We start from the raw sequence: 20,946 nt of genomic DNA, 5'->3' as shown, positions 1-20,946 counted from the left end.
TCCCTGGGATATTTAAAATAGATCTAATTTGTTCTATCATTACCACCCTAGTTCAAGCCAACATCACTGCTGCAATTCTCACTTAACCAGCCTATCTGCTTCTCTTTTCTCAACCATTTGTTTCCCAACTATCCCTCCTTCAGAACAGCTATAGTGCTCTTCTAAAAACGTAAACTACGCCATGCCATGCCCCTCATCTAAAACTCCTCAATGGCTTAACATCTCATGTGGAAGAGTTCAAAGTCTGTATCCAGGCCTACAAGCCCCTGCTTTATCCCTCCATCTTCTGTTACTGTCCTCCTTGCTCACTACCTTCCATTCATTCATGCATTCATTCATTCATCCAGACAGACATCTATCGACACAACAAGTATCTATTCCTTAAGTAAGCATCCAAGAACCTGAACTTGATGTTCACATTTTCTGGAATATCTCTTTCTTGGCTTTTCTCATGACCTCTTCATTATTTAGCAGTCATTTCAAATATTCAAGTAACAAGCAGTTAATTCACATTCTAATCCTCCATCCCCACTGCAAAGTAGCATACCATATTGTTTTATTTCCTTTACTGTAGTATTCACTATTTTAAATATTTATTTTATTTAAAATAAATAAAATAAAAAATAAAATATTTATTTATTATTGTTCCCTGCTCCCATACAACCAACACAAGTTTAATAGAAGCATGTTTCAAAGTGCATCTTTTCCATTAGGGTCAAGAAAACTACCTGGCTATATTATGTCATGTTTAAAAATACATGAATAAGTGAATAAATGAATGATTTTGTACAGCTCTTGAATTTTCAGATATTTCTGGCCCTTGTCTTACTTTAATTAATATCCCGAATACTTAGGATAGTGTCAATCTCATAGCAGATACTCAGTAAATGATGAATTAACAAAGTTATTTTGGAGTTTTAGAATCTCTGTTATCAATGATTCTGAAGATGTCCCAAACCTGATTTCAATCTGCTTTAGCAGATAGTATTATGTAAAAATTTTTATGAAAATATTAATTATAAAGAGGTCAGAGCATAAATCCAAGCACATATTAGGGGGAAAATCCAATTCTACACAAATTGTCCCACAATATATTTTTTTTCCTATGAGACATCATGCCTCACCATCTGTCTTATATATTGTTTTATTTTCTATCCTAACTGAATTTGAAAAGAAATGGAATATCTGGATAGGAAAGGTAGCACATATTAGAGTAAAATTTAATAAAGAGATTTGACAGTCTTATGAATTGGAACTTGAAGATGCATTTACATCACCTTAAATTTAGTATAGTAATTTGAATGGCTTAAAAAGATTGTAAGCAAAGATAGTAATCCTTATAAATGACAATGCAGCCAACAGAGCAGAATGTTCAAAGCCCTAAATGACTTTCAGCCAGTTCTCTTTTGGGTTTCAATGATATCTCAAGATATGAAAGAGGCGGTAAAATCCAGTGTCACATGAATTATATAGCAGCCAAGAGATAGGCTGGCATTCTAACCACAAACAGAAGGAAGAGCAATACCTAGGACCCAAAGGTCTATAAAAGTATGGGCAGGAAATAATGAAATGAAATTTGGCCTGGATAATATAAGCTAATAAATGGAAAAAAAAATCCAAAACATGGATATGCAGAGAGTGTGCAAAAAGTGGCAAAGAAAGAGGGTAATAAAAGATGGCAAACTACAAAGGGAGTTTCAGCAGTTTTAGTGTGATTGTATCTCCATATTAAAAAAAAGAGAGAGAGAAAGGAAGGAAGAAAGAAAGAGAGAGAGAGAAAGAAAAGAGAGAAAATATGAGACACTTTCTCAAACTCTGCAGCCTGCTACAGTAATGGTCAGGGAGTCAAGGGAACTGGAGATTAGAATAGATGCCCTGATCAACCCTATGACTTTGGACAAGTCACTTTCCCTCTCTGGGCTGCAGTTTCCCCTTGTATAGAATAAGAGTTAAATCAAGTAGCTTTGTGATCCCTTTTAGCTGTGTCACTCTAAGATATATTTGGTTCTTGACATTTTGCCCTTTGATCACTAAATCAGTTATTCAGTTAAGAGGGGAAACATGAAAAAAAAAAAAAGATGGAGAAACATGATCAGCAAAATGAAGATCGAGAAGCGTGTAGATGATGAACCCATTCTGAAAAACATGCATAGAACTATAACGAAAAGCAGATGGAATAAGGGGCCAGAAGGTAAAGTGTGTGCCTCAACTCTGTTGCTAACTTACTTTCATGGTACCAGTAACATACATCATCATTCTGCATCTGATTCTTTTTGCTTATTAAAAAAAATGACAGCATTATTTTCCTACCCATTTTCAAAAGTGGGTGTAAAGATAAAGTAAAATAATGCTGTGAAAACTAAAAACTACTCAAACATAAAAACTATAAGCTGTGTTGTTTTCACATTTTACTTTTGCAGATACAATCCAGACCTCATCTCCCCAATTATCAAATGGCTTTTCTAATTTTTTGTTTAGGTCTTAGCTCAACCATTACCTTCTCAGTGAGGACTTTTCTAAACACACTATCAACAAATAGTTTTCACCTTCACTAGAGTGTCTATACCACTAGTCTATTTTATTCCCTTCATAGCATGATCTCACTTCTTCAAATGTTTGCTTGATAATTGTATTCTCTCTAAAACAGAATGGCAACTCCTTGAGAGCAGAAACATAGGCTGTTGTGTGCATTGTTGCAGTCAGATACTAGTACATAGAAGATAATCAGAAATATTTGCTGAACGAATGAACGTTTTAACACTGCAAGGTTCTCTAGACATTCTATATGATTCTAATTCCTGTGCTTCTCTGTATAAAGTGGCAACTGAAACTTAGAAAGATTAAGTAACTCACTGAATGCTGCATAAATGTTAGAGGTCAAGGGTTCTGACTGGCTGATTAAGGCTTATTATACAAATATTGGGAATATTCAATGTCAAATAAAAATTGCTCTGTGAGAAATGCATGTTTGTAAGCATTAAGTAAAACAATGCATGCAAATGAAAGTCTATATATATATATGCTATATATATGCTATATATATATAGCTATATATACATATGCTATATATATGCCATATATATGCCATATATATGCCATATATATGCTATATATATGCCATATATATGCCATATATATGCTATATATATGCTATTTATATGCTATATATATGCTATATATATATGCTACATATATGCTATATATATATGCTATATATATATGCTACATATATGCTATATATATATGCTATATATATGCTACATATATGCTATATATATATGCTATATATATATATATATATATATATATATATATATATATGTATATGCATATCTATTCTGCAATCCAGTAAAACAAGCAGCCCGTCATTCTGATAGGGCATGCATAAGAGTCCAGCAAAGAAAGAAGCTTGGACAAGTGGATGCTATGTCTACCAGTGGGCCAAGGACTCGAGGATGAGTCAGGCACCACATGAAAACCAAGCCAGTTACCCCAATCTGGCATAGCTGGTTGTGACTAAGGTGACCGCAGCATGCTATGTTCTTGGCAGGGCTCCCATGCAGAAACCAGAGTGTTAAAATGGATCCCTCCCACCCTGAACTCTGACTGGTTTGGTTCACCTCAAAGACCATCCTCCTGCTATATGGTTTCGATAAGTCTAAAAAGATGAGCCATTCAAGCCACAGTGTCTTCTATCTCCAAGCTGGTGAGACACACTGCAGTCCTCTACAGAACAGAAGAGAGACAGTGCACAAGATTGCTCTTGGGTAAGTTTTCTTTTTCTTATGTAATGAATGGGTTACTCTTCAGCCCTTAGAATAAAAATACTATAATAACTTAAATCTATATGTTCTGATTTGTATTGCTTAGCTGTAATTTTCTTCTTTAACAAGGTGTGTATATGTCTTTCTCATCTCTCAGTAAGAAGAGGGAAAGCAGTGAGAGAAGGAAGAAAGGGAGGCAGGGAGGGAGGGAGGGAGCAAGGAAGGAAGGAAGGGAGGGAGGGAGGGAGGGAGGGAGGGAGACAGAAATAAATTGGTCCTAAATCTTTTCTCTTTTTCTTTTTTTGACACCTGGGCTTGAGTGCGCTCTGTCACCTGGGCTTGAGTGCGGTGGCGCAATCTTGGCTCACTGCAACCTCTGCCTCTCGGGTTCAAGCGATTCTCTTGCCTCAGCCTCCCAAGTAGCTGGGATTACAGGCACGGACCACTACACTCGGCTAATTTTTGTATTTTTAGTAGAGGCAGGGTTTCACCATGTTTGTCAGGCTTGTCTTAAACTCCTGACCTCGTGATCCGCCCATTTCAGCCTCCCAGAGTGCTGGGATTATAGGTGTAAGCCATCGCGCCTGGCCTGGTCCTAAATCTTAAGAGTTAACTGGGAACATTTGAAAATATCAATCAAAACCACTGCCCTTTTTGATCAGGGATGATAAGAGTCATCATAACTATTCATGTTCACGAAAAGTTCCAAGAAGCAGTCACTCTGAAGTCAGATTCCGCCAAATGAAGGATGTGTTTGCCCAAACAAAAGCATGAGACTGCAGATTGAGTCATTGGCTATAGATTCCAAGCTAGAGGCCAGAGAAGTTGTCTCCAGTCCTAGCTGGACCAGTCATGGCTGAAGAGGCCAATTCTGGGCCACTGATGTGGTAGGATATGGTCAAAGAATAGGACCCTGGATAGGCACCAACCACTGAGCAATAATCATGTAGGTATGAAGATGCTTAACCTGAAGAAAAGAAGGCTCAGGGAGGACACAATGGAAAACTCTTCTAACAAAGTACAGTTGGTCTAAAATTGAAAGTGGTTGCCCTAGAAGATACTGAGTTATTCATTCAACTTTTCCCAACAGGAGCTTGATGATGATTGACAAGGTGTACTCTGGTCCTTGCCTGCCTCTGCAGGCTTCTCTCTTCTCGAACGCACTCTAGTCTAAGCTCCAGACACAAATTGTCGTTGCCCTGAGTGGACCATGTTCCCTCTCACCTCCCCACGTTTGCAGAAGCTTTCTTCAAATCCCCAGAGCTGCCTTTTCTGTGACTAGTCCCCATTTGTCCTTTATTCACAGTTTAACCTCTCAAAAACCTGCCTGGAAACCCACCCCCAGAAGGGCTAATGGACCCTCACTAGGTCTTCCTATACCATCATCCGCTTCCCCAGTTAAAATTGTACTTAGCGTATTTGTGAAATGAATAACTGGATGACTTTCTCCATGCTGGGCATTGTGCTAAATGTTTCAAGTACATAAGGCATTCAAATCTAGAAGAGCCCCGTGTTTGGTCCTATTATTATCCCCATTTTACAGACAATGAAATTGAGGTTTCAAGAGGGTAAGTCATTCCCATGCTGTCCAGTTAATCTATTTTGAATGGATGTGGATATTCAGGAGAATCTGATGAGATGGGCTGATCTGATTCTCTCTCGGATGCCCTATGATTTGGCACTACTTGGGGGCTCAGGGGCCTGATGGAGCTGTGATCACAACCTGGCTCTTCACTAATTAGCTGGTGTCAATGACCAGCACACTTTAGCCCTGAGTCCGTTTCCTCTTTGGCAAATTGGCAAAATAATGACTACCTTCCCAACTGTTATGAGGACAAAAAAATGAGAAGCTGTTGAGAAAGCACGTAGCACCACATCCAGCATTTAAAAAACAAATTTTTTAAAGTAAAAGATGAGGAGTTTCCCTTTCCTTAAAGGAAGTAATCTGTCTCTGCTACCTTGTGCCACAGTTAAACTGCACAGGCTCAATAACTTATGTTTTGGTTAAACGTTTTTAATTTTTTTAGAGTGAAATCCGAGTTTTTGTTGGCAAGTGATTGAACACGCTGGGCCCAGCCTGCAGGCCCACAGTCCATTAGGAAATTTACGAGGCGAGATGGGGACCTTCAGCTCAAGTACTCCCTTCAGACGCAGTACTTACAAAGCCATCAATTTCCTTAACAAAGAGCATTGGCTTAAATGCCCCTTAAAGCAGTGTTATTTACACAGCTATCCACTTCCTTTTGAATTCTCTGCCTGGGGGGTGGCAGACCTGCAGTTCTTTCCAGCTACGAGTTAATTAGGCTCTCTCCCCAAATGGAAGCAAGCCGCAGACTGAGATTTGGTATTAAAAAGCAGCTCAATTTGGGGCCATCCGAGAGTCTTATGGGGTGATCCAAATACCACCAAAATCACTGGTTCCACCCACCCATTCTTCTAAAATTCTAAAGCCTTTGGACCTTACCAAAGAGTAATGACCTCTGTCAGTATAGAGATAGAGAAGGAAAGGCAGCATTTGAGCCCGTCTCTACTTAGTGAAAGAAGCCTCAAAAAAGTACTGCTGGCTAAGATAGCATACTTTCTACCTCTTGGTGTATCGATATAGTAACATTAACATTTTAAAGAAGCCCCCACCCCTTTTGTGGGGGAACTAGGATTTGGATACAAGCAGCCCAGTTCAGGGGTCTGAGCATGAAACCACCACCCCAAGCCACCTGACCCAAGATAACCTGCCCGAGATGACAGCTAAGGGGGAAAGTCTCCTATTCAAACAGGATTGTCTGACTCTAAAGACCAGCAAAGCTCAACTACACTTTCTTGCCTGAAAAATAAAACTGTCTCTTAAGAAATACATCCTTCTTTTACTCATTTATTCTATATTTACTGAACTGCAAATTATTTGTCAGTCCCTGGACTAACTCTTGGGAAATCAGATGAATTAAAGCAGGTCTCAGTGCTCCAAGAACTCAGGTCCTAGTGAGAGGGGAGATATGTAAATGATGACGGCACAGGATTCTGACCCTCATGAGGTACAAGATACTGTGGGAGCACAGAGGAGGGACCCCCAATCCAATCTAACCCAGATTTAAGAAGGTTTCCCTTAGGAGGCAACACCTGGGCTGTATCTCTCAGAGGAGGAACGGGTGGTGAGGAGCACATTCCAGCAGGGGGACACTGTGAGCAAATGAGATGAGGCCAGCAATATAGTAGGAGGTATAAAGCACAAGATGGTATTGGAGTATAAAATGCAAATCCTGGCCGAGGTGGGCAGGACACAAGGTCAAGAGATCGAGACCATCCTAGCCAACATGGTGAGACCCCATGTCTACAAAAATACAAAAATTAGCTGGGTGTGGTGGTATGTGCCTGTAGTCCCAGCTACTTGGGAGGCTGAGGCAGGAGAATCACTTGAACCCAGGAGGTGGAGGTTGCAGTGAGCCCAGACAGTGCCACTGCACTCTGGCCTGGCAACAAAGTGAGAATCTGTCAAAAAAAAAAAAAAAAAAAGAAAGAAAGAAAAGAAAAAGAAAAAGAAAGAAAAAAGAAAAAGAAAAGAAAAGCAAATCCTGGGCTCAGATCACGCAAGGTCTTAAATGACACAGTAAGGAATTTAAATTTATCTCAAGGGCAACATGGAGCCATCTGACACTCTCAATTGGAGAGCAACAAAAGGTGTCTGCACTTTAGGAAACTTGCTCTCACCTATGGGCAGGTAGATTGGGGCAAGCAAAAAAATGAACAAGCAACATGTTCATTTTACAAGCTTTCTCTTATAAAAGCCTAATCAGGAGCTGAAGAGGGCCTCAGGTAGAGTAATGATCATGGGGCGAGAGAGACTGATTTGGACGCAGACAAGATAACGTTTTCAAAGTAAAATGGGAAGAATGGCAATTATTTGGATGTGGGAAATGGCAGAGAGGGAAGAGTTATGGATGTTTCCCAAGCTTCTGTTTAAATGTCTGGTTGGCTACTGGCGCCACCAGTTGAGATTAGGAAAAACACTTGCAGCAGGTCTGGAAAGAAAGATGGCAAGCTTTGTGTAAGATGTGTCGAATGTGAGTTCCCTTGGGGCGTCAAAGTAGAGCAATTAGATATACAAGTTCATGGGTCAAAAAAAAAAAAAAAAAAAAAAAGGCCCAGACTAAAGATAGAGATTTTGGAGTCATACAAGGAGAGAATGGAGAATGAGAAGTGTGCCTATTATGGAACATTGGAGACTGCTGATACTTAAAGAGTAGGTGAAAGAAGGTCTGTGGAGGGATGGTCAGAAAAGTTAAGAAAAACAGAAGAGGCTAACACTTCACAGGTACCAGGAGTTCTGAATTTCAAGAAAGAGCCAGATAAGACAAAAGAGAAAAATATTGAAATATGTCTGTTTGAACATGCTATTTAATAGAATCTCATGCATGACTTCCCTAAAGAATGATTCTCAAATTTCTGCTCAATCTCTTCCGGGGACAGGTCACTCTCTACTTGTGAGTAAGAACTAGATTATTATTTTTGTTAGCCATAATAATCAATATTTGTTGATCACTTTCTGGAAGACAGGAACTGTCACAAACACAGGCATCCTTGGTGTCTAGCATGAACCTGGCACATAAGAGGTGCTCAATAAATAAAAGCCTATGTGATGAATGAATAAGTTTATAAATTAATAAAACAATATATCATAACAATCATATGAAGTCAGGAATATCACTCCTACTTCTCAGGTGGAAAAAGGTATTTGGGGGATGAACCCTGAGGCAGACAAGTGGTCCTTGTGCTTCGGGGCTGGTCAATCAGCTTTTCCTCCCTCCCTGTCCCTTTAGAAGTTCTCTTGGCAAAATGCACACGGGACAAATGGAAAAGGGATTTCAGACTCTTGTGGAGACCCTTCCTTGGTAATGAGGCTGAACTCAAGCTATACATGTGGTTTTGGACTCCTAAACTGAGGAACCAACTCCAGCCAGGACCTTTCAGAGTCCTGCCAATGGCGGCTGATAGTTAAATTTAAACTTACGGATAATTTGGGCTGGGTTTCTGACTGCTGTTGAAAGCTAAAATCACCCTGATTTCTCTTTGGGTCAGTTTGCCAAGAGTATTTTGTTGGCCCTTGAAGAGCATCCCATTCAGGGAGGTTGATCTTTTTTAAAATACTGCTCCTATCATGTTATGCCTCTGCCCAGAAACTACTGCTTGCTATGGGATGAGAACTGCCCACTCACCCCCTGTGACTTCCCTGGAGTAGTTTCCTTTAGGACTGGTGCACTCACTGTATAGAGAAAAACCCTCTGTCTGGATCTTTATAGTGGCAGAGTGTCAAACCTGGTCTTATCTGAGTCCCACTGTCCAGAAATCTTTCCCAGGCTCACCAACCCCTGCACCAGAGGCTTTCCACTGCTCCCAGGGGACCTCTAATGCCAATCCCTTCATATCTTTAATGACCACTGTCTTCTGCAGCCCTCTAACAAAGGTTTCTGCTGCTTAACCCTGCATTGCACAGAACTTTGTATGCAGCAGGTGCTTAATATAGACAATAATCAGTGTGAGCCTGGTCACATGCATTTTAGGCTGATTGCAGGACCACCATGGCTGCTGCCTGGAGGAGAGAGAAAAGCAACCGTGTGCATGAGGGCAGAGTGACAGGCACTGGACCTGGGCTATTTTATCTTTCTGTCCAGTAAGATAAAATGAAAAAAACTCAGTCCTTTAATAATTATTATAATTTCTTATTTGCTTTATGTTAACATCTCTTTGGTACTTAATCAGTATTGGCTTAGAGAAAGTCAGTGGTTTTTAGTTTCTTCCTCTGTTAAGTATTTAATGATCTGTAAACAAACACTTCAGACAGTGTTTCTTAAAAAGACCCTGGGATCCTTTTGTTATGTGAAGATTTCTTTAGCTTCCTGCATTGTTTCCCCTTCTCATTATCTGTTTGCTGCTAGGCTGTTCAGCTCTTGAGAGTACACACTTTATTAGATAACCTTAATGATGGAGATGTAGCATAAATTAGTAGTTAAGCCTGAGGGCTTAAGAGCCAGAGACTTCCAGGGCTAGAATCCCTTACTGGGAACGTAACATCTCTGTGCCTCCATTTCCTTACTTATAATGCCTGTATAATGTTAAAACTACCTCATAGCATTAATGTGATTAACCAGTGGAATTAATAGAGAAAAAGCTTGAGTGAATTTTATCCAATTAATTTAATTAAATTAATAATTTGAGTTATGTATACTATTATGACTTTTGTCTGAGATGGTGAGATGGAAAAAGGGTGGAAATATATGCAGTCTATGCAGTTGGCCCTCCATATTCATGGGTTCTCCATCTGTGAATTCAAGAGATGCAAAATAAAATTCTATCTGTACTAAACATGTATAGACATTTTTTCTTGTTCTTATTCCCTAAACATTACAGTATAACAACTATTTATGTAGCATTTACATTGTATTAGGTATTAGAAGTAATCTAGAGATGATTTGAAGTATATAGGAAGGTGTGCATAGGTTACATGCAAATACTACTCCATTTTATATCAGGGAATTGAGCAGCCACAGATTTTGGTGTTCACAGAGGTCCTGGCAGAAATCGCCCAAGGATACTGAGGGATGACTGTATATTTCTCACTGGCTCCTTCTTGTTCTAAAGGTTTCATATTTTGGAGGAGGTCATCTGGTGACTTTAGTTTTGAAGTTGGGCAGATCTTGGTTCAAATCTCAACTCTGTCACTTAATAAGCACCCGCTTTGAATAAGCCATTTCATCTTCTTGAGCCTGAACTTCTCCTCGTGTAAAGTGGGGGATAATGGCCCCTACCTTCCCGTAGCCTTGGGAAAATCAAGAGGATGGTTAAGTGGGGTGTGAGGCAGTTGGCCTGGCATAAGATGCAGCACTCAGGAAGATTTGCTTGTCTGGTGGGTGGTTTCCCAGCTCAGTAAATATTTATTGAATGGAGGCCACATTCTCAAAAGTCACTTAAACATTTGGGGGCTCTGTTGTGTCACCTGGAATGTGGTGTTAACAATACCTGGTAGCCAGGGGTGCTGTGGGTTTGAAATGAGCTACTGCAGCAGGTTCTCCATAAATATCAATACAGTCCCTTCTACTGGTCAGGGGAGGATCCTGGATGCTGCCTAAACCGTTTGGAAGGTCATCTGTTTGGGTTCCTCTGGCCACCCTTTTTAGCCTCAGAGTGTCATTTGCTTCAGTGTCTCAATGATTGGCTCGAGCTGGATGTTGGGACACGAGGGTAGATGGCAAGGCTTCTTCCCTTAAGGGTAAGGGACACAGATGTGGAAGTAAAATACATGAGGAGTCAGTGAAATTATAGCTATGCTGGTATAGGCTCAGGAGGGAGATGGATGAAATGATTGTCTAACTCCTCGCGCTGTCTCTCTCATCTGGCTTATTCTGCCCAACTGGCTATACTTTTACCCGCTTACACAGTCATCTCTAGGTATCTTCGAAGCATTGGTCTCTGGACCCCCTTGGATACAAAAATCTGAAGATATTCAAGACCCTTATATAAAGTCCCTTAGTATTTGCATATGACCTATGCACACCCTACCATGTACTTTAAATCAGCTCTAGATTACTCATAAAACTTAATACATTGGAAATACTTTATTGTTTTTTCTATTTGTGCTGTTTTTAAATTGTCGTAGTGTTATTTATTTAGCCAGTTAGTTTCAAATATTTTGTATCTGAGATTGGTTGAATCTGAGGATGTAGGATCTGAGGATATGACAGGCCAACTGTGTACTCATCCACCTCTGCCAGCAGTCAACAACTTTTCAGTAAAGGACCAGATGGTAAATATTTTGGCTTTGTGGTCCATACAAGATTTCTGTTGGAATGACTCAACTCCACCTTTGTAGTGGCAAATATGTAAACAAAGGAGCATAGTTGTGTTTCAGTAAAACTTTGTCTATGAAAACAGGCAGCAGGCTGGGTTGGCCATGGGTGGTGGTTTACTGACACCTGGTCTGTGCAAGCATGCACATGGCTATTATGCCCAGGGCAGGGCTTGGTAGAGAGTGTAGAAGGTATATGCTTGAGTCAACTTCTCCTTCCTTCATGCCGTAAATAGCAGCTTCACCACAGTCCTCAAGGGCCTGAGAAATCAGAGACTGCTAGACTTCAGCCTCATCCCTCCTTTGTTCACTACAGTCCAGCAATGCTGACTTGCTTTTCCCTCTTCAAAAGTTCTTCTCTGCCTTGGGAATTGAATAGTCTTAACTTCTTGCAATCCTTGCTCAGTTACCTGTTCCATATCTCCCTAATGAGTCCACATCCTACTCAACCCTCAAGTCTCAGCTTAAATGTCAAATCTTCAAGGAGATCTCCTTGACCCCCTCAATGTAAAGGAGGCCCTTTGGTTATATACTTCCAAGTATTTCCATTTAGTGCCATTTTCCACAATGACACTTAAATAATTATTTGTATCATTTTCCTAACCTCCCTGGCCTTCCTTTTTCACTGCTGTTTTCTTTGAAACAAGCACAGTGCCTGGCATACAGCAGGCATCAAAAAATATGAACTAAATGAATGAATGACATCATCCAGCAGCCAATTTGCAGAATCTTCTGCCTGGGTCCGACTGCACATGTTGGGGCAAGCAGCCGATTTTTTCCTGCAGGCTCTAGCAGTGAGGTTTTCACACAATCCTTACTGCCCATCCATCATTTTATTTTAGGCACATTACTTTTCTGTCCAAAAAGAAAAGGAGGCTACAATTAGGTCTATATCCCTCACTTGCTTAATATTTCAATTTCCCTCAGGGCACTCCCTTCAAGTAGAGATCACAGCTCATGAATATTAAATGTCTTTTCCAACCCAACATGGACTCCAAGAAACAACTGAGAGCCAGGAGCTAAGAAAAGGCCCTGATACCCAGCCTAGAGGCCTCTACCCTCTCCCAGTCCGCCTCAGTCATAACTGCACAGATGTACATCAAGGCACATGTATGTGCAGATGAATTTCTGGTCACTTTAAATATCACAATGAAGTCCTTGTTCTTGGCTACCCAGATTCACCTGCCTTGGACTCTGGCTGCCTTTCAAAGGCACACATCAAAGTTTGGTCTCGATTCCTCACATTCAAGCAAGCACCAAGTCGGTTCCCTGAGCCTGACCCCTTCCTGAGAGTCAGGAAGCAGACCTGGGCTGCGGGCTAGAATTCCTCCCTTCTGGCGTCAGAGGCCGTTCTGTTTCTTTTCATTCCAGCCCTGCCTCTCTGTGGGGTAGGCCTCCCGGGTTTCCAAAGGAGGTGGTAAGCCTTGGTCTGAGGCAGGATGGCAAGCTTGATCCTAACCGGTGCTGACTCAAGGGTGTTTGAATGCATCCATCAGACCTCCCTGTTGAGTACTTCAGATCTTTGGTGCTGCCCGCACGTCAGCCTTCCGCCCCATCGCCTCCTTTTCCTGCTCTTTTGTCCCCTCAGTGACCCCCTTTGACCCTTTGGGTGAAAGGAATTCCTTTCTCTTCCCCAAGCCCTGATTTCTTTTAAAATGTACCAGTTTTAAAACAATAACAACCTGGGATTTAAATCCTAAAAATCGGAGCTGAAAGCTCCCTGGGAGCTCATCAAATTCCCTCATTATTTTACAGTGGGGAAACTGAGAACTAGGAGGTTTGATCATTTTGCAAATGGCACCACTGTAATTTAGCATCAGGATTTGGTTCAGGACCATTTTTGCTGATGATGGGTTGGCTGCCTTTGCATCAGTCACAATTGAGATAGGCAATGAGGAAGGGGAAGAAGAGGTGGCGTTAACTGACATCCTTGATTGTCCACTAACTGCTGTGCATTGTGCTAAACACTCTATAGATGTTATGTCATTCTTTTCCTTAACAAAACTATAGGTGTTATAATTACGTCCATTTTTCAGAAGAGGAAACCGAGACTCAGAGGTATTGAGAGATGCCTAAAAAGACCCATGTAGTAATTGCAACCAATAGACATTTGAACTCAAGCTCCTCTGTCTCCAACATTGCTATGACAACTTTATTAAGTGCCAAACACATTCTATGCTAAAAAAAAAACGATTTGGCTACTGTCAATGGAGGGTGATCTGTTAAAAATGAAAATACAGCCTAAAATACAGAATGACCCTCCATTGGGGGTATGAGCTTTATGCCATGGAACATTTCTAGGGTGATAATAACTGAAAATTGTTGTTTCATGACTCATGAAAATGGCACAAGGACATGTGCATTCACTTTTGTTTCCTGCTGTGATTCAATGGCACCAAACAGAAATAGTGGAAAAGAGAAACACTCTCTGGCTATTTCAAGAGTTAGTCTGGAGTTGGACATAGGCTTTAGGGCAGACAGACAAACTCTGAAGTCTCCTTCTCTGACCTACCTGGCTATATGACTTTGGATATTCACTTAACCTCTCAACGCCTCAATTTTCTGACCAGCAAAATGGTGCAATTATTTTGACTCTACAGAGTTGCTGGGAGGGTGAATGAAATCATTTTTACAAAGAGTTCTTAGCAGAAAAACTGGCACAGCTGGGTATCTAATAAATGGAATAACTTCATGGTTAAAATGTGTAGACTCTGCCTAGATGCTGTGAATCTCACGTCTGCTATGTCTCTGTGTAACTGTAGGCAAGTTACTAAATCTCTCTGAACCACAGTTTTTTCCTCTACAAAACGGGGATAACATTATTTATCTCATAGGGTTTCTGGGAAGATGGATATAACTTCTGAATTAATCATATTCAGTCAGGCACGGTGGCTCACGCCTGTAATCCCAGCACTTTGGGAGGCCAAGGCAGGCAGATCACCTGAGGTCAGGAGTTTGAGACTAGCCTGTCCGACATGGTGAAACTCTGTCTCTACAAAAAGTAGCTGGGTGTGGTGGCACGCGCCTGTAATCCCAGCTACTCAGGAGGCTGACGTAGGAGAATCACTTGAACCTGGGAGGCGGAGGTTGCAGTGAGTCCAGATCATGCTGCTGCACCCCAGCTGGGTGACAGAGTGAGATTCTGTCTCAAAAAATAAAAAATTAAAATAAAAAATAAAATATTAATTATGACAATAATAGCATCAGTAGCAAACACATCTATAACACTTGTCAGGCAGGTGTCACCATTTTAAATGCTTTACAAAAATAAACTTGTTTTTCCTTGCAATAATTCTAAGAAGTAGGAACTTACTAACCCATTTTATGATTGAAAAAACTGCGACACAAGCTAAGTGTCAGGGACAGGCTTTCCACCCAGAATCCGTGTTCTTAACAATGGATACCCTATGTCATTACTCCAGTGTTAAGAATGCCACCAACCTAGCTGAGATATTATCACCCTCGTCGTCACCTTAATCACTACCACCATGACCCCCACCTATATTCCTCTTTCTTTTTCCTCTTTCATAGGCCTGCCTTCAAGCCAAGGGAAGCTTTATTTCAAAAACGTGTTCTGGGGAAAGTTACTACTTTTTCCACGGAGGGAGGTCTGATTGAATACATGCAGTCTGGAGAAGTTTTATTTTGTTTTCTTAATTTTAATTTTTTTAAGGTGAGAGGTGGATCATCTATTATGATTTCACGTTGTTAGAAAGAAAAATAATAATAAATGCAACTCCCAGCAGAGCCCATTCTTCCCCCTCTCCTCCAGCAGATGCTGTTTTTCTTTCCAGTCACTGTTGTTCTAAAGTCTCATCGGAACCTCCACCAAGAAGACGTGGCGATTCATCTTCTTGTTTTCCTTTCTCGCCTTGGCTCAGAGCAGGCCAGAGCAGCCTGACAGAGGGGCCACAAGGCTCGGTGAACCCCTGCCCCTCCCAGCAACTGGTGGGGAGGCAGACCGATTCTTCTCCTCTCCTCGATGTCCCTCACAGGGGAGGGGAGGGAGCTGGGGCTGGGGGTTGCTAATTGAGTTACTGGCCCTGGCTCTAGGACAGGGCTGGGGATGCTGTGTCAGGGATCACAGAGTGATGCTAATGGCAGGAGTAGGGGAGAGAAGAGGAGTGGGGAGGGAGGGAGAAAAAGAGACACACAGGGAATGCCTCCACGTCTGGGAAAGACGACGTGGGGGTCCCTTTCCTTTGTTTTCTTAACTATATATCAGCGTCAGGCAGGATTTGAAACCTAAAGCCTTTAAATAGCTGTTTGACAAATCGGAGATTCCTCAGTATCAGATGAGGGAAGAAGCTTTAGAGTCTCAGTCCAGTCTCCCTAATTTCACAAAGGAAGAAACTGAGGCTCTGAGGTGCTAAGCTGCAGCCAGGAGGCCTCTAGATCTAAACTGGGAACTGGACCCAACTATGCTGAAGAATACAGGGTGGAAAGTCAAAACAGAGCATGAGGGCTTCTCCACAGCTGCATCTCCTGTAATGCACTAGATTCCATCTCAGAAGGTAACACATTTCCAGCACCAGCTAAAGATATATTACACAGTATAACCCCTTTTGGGGACCCTTCACATTTTGTCTGACTAATTTGACTATTATCCCACCTCCTTCAGCTTTTATCAGCAGCCTGTCTGTAGTTTATGACTCAATGCTTTAGAGACAGAATTCCCAATGCTGTGAACAATGCCTGCAGCCAGTGCCTGTTGGGGAGAGTTATCATTTTACTGATACCACATTTTTTCACTGAAACCTCAGGCCTGGTGTATGTTATATTTTTAAAAGAGGGGAAAAAAAGACAAGATAACTTCCACATTGCAAAGGGATGAAGCCTGCCTTGCCTGAGAGGTCATGTGGGTGGTGTTCATTTTAACAAGCAACTTATTATGTGCTGGGGGATGAGGGCACCAGGGGTGGGAAATTGAGAACGGGAAGTCCCCAGGGTGTTGCATAATAACACACTGGCACCTTGGGAATACTTCCGGATGTGTGGGCTTCTGAAAAGTGAATGGGAATGTCACCATAAATCTGTCACCCACCCTAACGCTGGTGTTACTAAGCCAGAGAAAACATCAGCCCTTCTAAATTGAAGCAGGAGAAGGACAAGAAGGTAGAAGAGGTGGAGGAAGAGAAGGAGAAAAAGGAGAAGAATATGAGGCAGAAGAAGGAGTGAAGGAAGAAGAGGAGGAGGAGAGGAAAAAGGGGGAAGAGGAAGGGGTGAAGAGAAAAGAAGAACAAAGAAAGAACAGTGGAAGGAAGAAAGTCATTCAAATGGAGAGGCAGAGTGGCAGAGTAGAAAAAGCCAGGTTCTCTACTCAGACTGGAGAGAGGATCATACCTCTGTGTGCTGTGTGACCTGGTGCAAGTTAAGATGTCATAAGAGACCTCAGATCTCACATACGGAAACAAGAGACGACCCGTAGTTCACAGAAAACAAAGATGCGTATGAAGAACCTATCACCTAGTGGGTATCCATAAATGGTGGTTGTTGCTGGTATCCTGTGCCCGCAACATTCCACACAAACACACATAGAGAAAAGTAATAGCTAATGTGCATCTGTGCATCAAGCACATCCAACTTGCTAGAAATGGGGTTAAATCTCACATTATCTTATGGCAATAATTTTCAGTCAAGATTCTGAGTGACAGTCAACAAAAACCAACTTTGGATAACTTAAGCAAAACAAACAAGCAAAATTTGTTCAAAGAATATTGGTTACGTATGGAACACTCTCTGGAGAGCCAGGCTTGCGTGCTCTGAAGCTCAATTCCAAGCCCAAGATTAGGTCCCAGAACTAGTTTAGTGAGGGGATCCAGAGCTGGTGCTGTGCATAGCTAGCTCAGCTTTGATGCTAGATGCCTTCCCTGGTACTTAGGAGGCTGGTATGGATGTGGCTACTCCCACCATCCTCAGCAAAATGGTGTCTACAGTATCCCTAAGTCTAATCACTACTAGCTTCCAATTCAAAGTCTTGGGTTGGTGTGTCTGACTGGAGGGCAGAGGGAAAGCCTAGGTTGTATATACCCACACTCAAGCTACCCAGAAGACGGGGAGAAGGAGATGCTTGGATAATCAACTTCTATACTAAGCGTTGGGCTCTTCCTTATTAGAATAATTATCTCCTAAGTCTAAGAAGGAAATTCTGATAGAAAGTATCCAAAAATATTGGTCAATATCTTCCACTGTTGGGTTCTAGGGCTTTTACCATTTTCTACATGAGAACACTGAGGCTTAGCCAAAGTTACACATCTAAGTCATGGTATGCCTGATCTCCTGACTGTTATCTTGACCACTGTCTTAACAAATGCAATCATGGGAACAATGTCAACCTCAGCACAGCCTCCCACACTTGTCTCTCTTCTCTGACTCATTAAAGATTGGTCTGCTGGGAGTAAAGATTCACTGTCTATTTTTCAGCTGTTCCTTTCGGAGGAAGATAGTTTTCTAGACTTCAGCTACACGATTTGTCCTTGGAATGTAGTCCCTGGGAGCTGGGATCTCTGGGATGCCTGTATCTCTGTGAGTGTCTATAATGAGATTTTAAGTGGCCAGTGAAGGGCGTAGCTGAAGGCTTTCCTGTAATACAAATTCCACTGAACATACAGGGGTAACAGAGAGCCTTCCCTAGACACTGTCCACAACACTGATGGTTTTGTATTCCATTCCATTAATTTGTGATACGACTTGTTTTGCAATGTTTTTTTTTCATTCACCCTGAAAGCCTGCAAGACCAGGAGCTATCTTTTTTTTTTTTGCAGGTAGCTTACCACAGTGAGCTCTGGAGTCAGGCTCTCTGGGTTTAAATTCCAGCTCCACCATTTAACTGTGTATCCTTAGATCATCACCCCATACCTCAATTTCCTCTTTTGAAAGAGCAGTTCAGTAAAAGAGTTGTTACGAGAATAAGAGTTTATAAATGTGCTTGGTATATAAGAAGTATTAAGCAAATATCACCATCAGCAGCAGAACACAGAATCTGGTAGAGAACAACAGTCTATAAAATGAATCTAGGAGGATCTCAGTCTCATCCTCTTGGAAACTCCCTCATCTTTTTTATTTTATTTTGAGACAGGGTCTCGCTCTGTCACCCAGGCTGGAATGCAATGGCATGATCTCGGCTCACTGCAACCTCCGTCTCCTGGGTTCAAGTGATTCTCCTGCTTCAGCCTCCAGAGTAGCTGGGATTATGGGTGCCCGCCACCACTCCCAGCTACACTGTATGTTTAAAATTCAGTTTTTTGTTAACAAGAAATGGTGAACCACATTATAATTTTCACCTACTCTCTGCACCTGGCTCCAGTAAACAAGCATATAAAATATCCCAAATTCATGGAACAAGGGTTGATAAACTTCACAGGTAAAATACCAGATAATAAATATTTTAGTTTCTTTGGGTCATAGAATCTCTGCTGTCATCACTGAACTCTCATTGTAGCATGAAAGCAGCCACAGTCAATATGCAAATGAGTGTGACTGTGTTCCAATAAATCTTTATTTACAATTACAGGGGGCAGGCTGGCTATGGCCTATGGACCATAGTTTGCAGACCCCTTCCATGGATGAGGAGCTTCTACCTATTAGAGATGTCCTTATTTTTCCTGATCATTGCATAGCTCTAAATCAACACAGCAGATGAATGTCAAGGCTCAAGCATCTCTTTCAGGGTACCATATCCTACCTTCACCCCATCCTACTTTCTTTCCAGAAGCACATAAATTACATGCCACATTAGTGCAAGTCAAACAGGCAGATATTTTTCAGCATGGTCTGGGACTAGTGTTGGTTGCCATAAGGATGACGACAAAGGTAAGAGTTTGGCTCAGGTAGAGTTCACAATTAGAAGGAATTCAGTCACCCACCTCAAAAAATCACACAACAGAAGTGCAGGTAAGGCTCTTAAGTTAAGAGTTAGGACCACTTAACCCAATCATTTAAAAATTTACAGTAGGTAAACTGAGGCCAAGACTAGGGAAGCCACTTGGCCAGCTTTATGTAAGTTCTCAGCACAGTTGGTACTAGAACCTGGTTTTCCTAATTTTAATCCAAAGTTCTTTCCACCACATCACTAGGCTAATATCAAGCTTTTACTAGGGACCGGACCATATTCAAATCAACAGAGGAGAGAAAATTTTTTGGCAATTTAAAACCCAAGGCCCTGCCTAGAAACTCCCATGTCTTTTCTCCTGGGGCATCTACCTATCTTCCAACCATAAATATTTACAGAGCACTTCTATTGTGTTGCTCAACCCCTACTGGGTGCCAAGAAGATAGTAGGTGCTCAACAAATGCGTGTTGAGAATTGAATAAGAGACACATGGTATATGGTCTTCACCATCACGGAGCTCACAATCTACTGGGAGAAAGAATGTCTAAATGCACCCCTGTAATGCACTGCAGATGCGAGGATGCAATGCTATCTTTTCCTCTTTAGTCCTAGAAAATTGCCTGTCAGTGAGAAATCTTCCCACGAAGGTTTTCATCCGCTTGTAACTGCCCCTTCTCTCTTCAGATAGAGCACCTCTGTCTTTTGTACTTGCAAATGAATTGTGATTAGTTTTCACCTCCAGCCCAGGGGATTAGCTGGGGGACCTTTGATCTTCAGGTATCGATTTGCATCTTAAAGGAAGTATGATCTCATCTGGACCAGCTCAAAATTCCACCCCTGCCCCTCCCAACCCCTGTCTGTTTACCAGCCCGGGGCTGACCAGGGCCTCCCAAGTGGGGCTGAAACAACAAGATCAGCCAGACTCCAAGAGAAGGCAGAGGAAAACAAATTTCCCAAATGACTCGGTGAAGGTGGGAAAAGGACATTTGCTTTCTAAACACAGGCTGGTCTGCTATTCCTCCTTCCTCAGATCAGAGAGACTGCCCAAGGTTCTGAGTCTGCAGAGGGGACCTTGGTGGTTCCTGCATCACGGCTGGAGGTTGCAAAGCAAAATGAGTTGAGCACGTGCTTGAGAATCAGACAAAATCAGGTTCAAGTCCTGATTCTGTCTTTAATCACTTTTGACCTGTATAACTCTGGACAACTTTTGAAATTTTTCTGGCGTTTGATTTTTTCTTATCTCTGAAGTAGGAATAAAAGCCTTAAAACATCTCCAGTAATACCCATCCTGGACAGTTAGTGTGAAGAAAAGCAGGGATGTTTGTAAGGTAAAGCTTGATCAAAAGAAGTTACCCGTCATTGGCATCATCTATGAGAGCTTAAGCTCTTGAGGGATTGCTTTGTTTGTTTGTTTTTTCACTGCTGTATTTCCCGATATTGAAAACAGTGCCTGGCATGTAGGAGGCACTCAATAAACAGGTGTAATACAAAGGAGTGAATCATCATTTAGTCATAAC

General features: G+C 41.6%; 1 protein-coding gene and 1 long non-coding RNA gene across 4 annotated transcripts in view, besides 5 other annotated features; one reads left to right on the top strand and one right to left on the bottom strand.

Moving 5' to 3' along the window:
* Positions 1-6,615, top strand: part of PAPPA-AS2 (PAPPA antisense RNA 2) — a 77,849-nt gene extending 71,234 nt beyond the window's left edge. The window contains exons 5-6 of the long non-coding RNA NR_170222.1: positions 3,551-3,767; positions 4,855-6,615. This is a non-coding gene — a long non-coding RNA (PAPPA antisense RNA 2). The remainder of the gene's footprint in view (positions 1-3,550; positions 3,768-4,854) is intronic.
* Positions 1-20,946, bottom strand: part of PAPPA (pappalysin 1) — a 248,531-nt gene that overhangs the window by 109,879 nt on the left and 117,706 nt on the right. The gene's annotated exons all lie outside the window — the stretch shown is intronic.
* Positions 5,319-5,893: an enhancer, noted in NCBI's record as "OCT4-NANOG hESC enhancer chr9:119048829-119049403 (GRCh37/hg19 assembly coordinates)". NCBI's record gives its function as "activates a minimal SCP1, AML or CMV promoter by ChIP-STARR-seq in naive and primed H9 embryonic stem cells {active_cell/tissue: H9 hESC(naive and primed)}" and the evidence as "EXISTENCE:reporter gene assay evidence [ECO:0000049][PMID:30033119]".
* Positions 5,894-6,470: an enhancer, noted in NCBI's record as "OCT4-NANOG hESC enhancer chr9:119048252-119048828 (GRCh37/hg19 assembly coordinates)". NCBI's record gives its function as "activates a minimal SCP1, AML or CMV promoter by ChIP-STARR-seq in naive and primed H9 embryonic stem cells {active_cell/tissue: H9 hESC(naive and primed)}" and the evidence as "EXISTENCE:reporter gene assay evidence [ECO:0000049][PMID:30033119]".
* Positions 9,327-10,005: an enhancer, noted in NCBI's record as "OCT4-NANOG hESC enhancer chr9:119044717-119045395 (GRCh37/hg19 assembly coordinates)". NCBI's record gives its function as "activates a minimal SCP1, AML or CMV promoter by ChIP-STARR-seq in naive H9 embryonic stem cells {active_cell/tissue: H9 hESC(naive)}" and the evidence as "EXISTENCE:reporter gene assay evidence [ECO:0000049][PMID:30033119]".
* Positions 12,772-13,403: an enhancer, noted in NCBI's record as "OCT4-NANOG-H3K27ac hESC enhancer chr9:119041319-119041950 (GRCh37/hg19 assembly coordinates)". NCBI's record gives its function as "activates a minimal SCP1, AML or CMV promoter by ChIP-STARR-seq in primed H9 embryonic stem cells {active_cell/tissue: H9 hESC(primed)}" and the evidence as "EXISTENCE:reporter gene assay evidence [ECO:0000049][PMID:30033119]".
* Positions 19,658-20,322: an enhancer, noted in NCBI's record as "OCT4-NANOG-H3K27ac hESC enhancer chr9:119034400-119035064 (GRCh37/hg19 assembly coordinates)". NCBI's record gives its function as "activates a minimal SCP1, AML or CMV promoter by ChIP-STARR-seq in naive H9 embryonic stem cells {active_cell/tissue: H9 hESC(naive)}" and the evidence as "EXISTENCE:reporter gene assay evidence [ECO:0000049][PMID:30033119]".

This window comes from Homo sapiens, chromosome 9 (assembly GCF_000001405.40).
Source record: "Homo sapiens chromosome 9, GRCh38.p14 Primary Assembly".
Taxonomy (NCBI): Eukaryota; Metazoa; Chordata; class Mammalia; order Primates; family Hominidae; genus Homo; species Homo sapiens.
Note: the sequence above shows the minus strand (reverse complement) of the source record. Positions and strands in the feature narration are given on the sequence as shown.